This window comes from Homo sapiens, chromosome 9 (assembly GCF_000001405.40).
Source record: "Homo sapiens chromosome 9, GRCh38.p14 Primary Assembly".
NCBI lineage: Eukaryota > Metazoa > Chordata > Mammalia > Primates > Hominidae > Homo > Homo sapiens.
Window position 1 is genome coordinate 30,831,367 of NC_000009.12, and position 1,383 is coordinate 30,832,749.

Sequence of the window (1,383 nt, forward strand, 5' to 3'; positions counted from 1 at the left end):
TTTACATAAATAGCTAGGCGAGGTGGCTCAAGCCTGTAATCCCAGCACTTTGGGAGGCCAAGGCCAGTGGATTAACTGAGGTCAGAAGTTCAAGACCAGCCTGGACAATATAGTGAAACCCCGTCTCTACCAAAAATACAAAAATTAGCCGGGCGTGGTGGCAGACACCTGTAATCCCAGCTACTCAGGAAGCTGAGGCAGAAGAATCACTTGAATCCGGGAGACGGAGGTTGCAGTGAGCTGAGATCACGCCACTGCACTTCAGCCGGGGCGACAGAGACTCCGTCTCAAAAAAAAAAAAAAAAAAAGAAAACAAAAAAGAAAAAAATGAAATTACATGAATAAGCTTTCTTCCCCATGAAAATAATATGTGTCACTTTATACTTGGTCTAACACACAAAATCCCCACCCTATCTGGCACAGATACACTTAACATGCAATATTAAGTACAATTTCCATTTTATTTTTCTCCAGAGAATAGTCTGCCTTCAGTCTTTAAGAACTCAGCTCCTTACAAGGGCTTTGGTGGGGGACGTGGGGCAGCACCAGCAGGTCTAAATCGGGGTGGGGGTGTTCGGTCCTTGCGGGCTTCATGAGATCGATTCCTGACTACTTTGCTGTGGATTGCACAACTCACACAGTAATGCAGCTTCACATACAGCTTGGGAAGCACGTAGGCATCGAAGACGCTTGCTTCAGAAATGTCCCTGACTGCTGTGGCCTCCACTATGTTTCGAATGACCAATTTCTTAATGGCCTTGTCCTTGGGCACACATCGGGCACAGTTAGTGCAGCGAATAGGCTGCACGTGGCCGCGGCCCTTTTTGGCACGACCGTTGTTCCTTCTTTTCTTTGTCATCTTCGAGGCACGGACCGGAGAGAGCTAGAAAAATAAATTATTGTAAAAGTTCAATGTATTATACAATTATATTTATCACTATTAGTAGAAACGTATTATTTTATCTGATATTTACATAAAACATTTTCCTCCCTTGGATAATATGTATTTCCTTTCAGTCTTAGACACTTGCCATTTATTGACACAAAAATAGTACCCTACAAAGGAATACAAATTTAATGATCCTTTAATTTATTTTCTCAATATTTTCCTATTTATCAAATGAGTGCTCTTATAATTTTACAATGAGCAGCCCAATTTTAAAATCTGAAGTGCTTCTACAAAGTAATGATGACAATACCATACAAATCGGAAGAAATACATTGCATACTAGAGACTGAATGAGTTCTCTACCAATGTATTGTAACAATTAAAAGATCTCTTCAAATTATTTTATTTGATACTACTTTGGCTATCCCACATTAATGAAATACAGCCTAATTTAATTACATATTATGATCATTGTACATACATGAGTTCCTGGT

General features: G+C 39.9%; 1 pseudogene; it reads right to left on the minus strand.

Annotated features, from left to right (window-relative positions):
* Window positions 1-242: 242 nt before the first annotated feature.
* Window positions 243-883, minus strand: RPS26P2 (ribosomal protein S26 pseudogene 2; annotated as a pseudogene).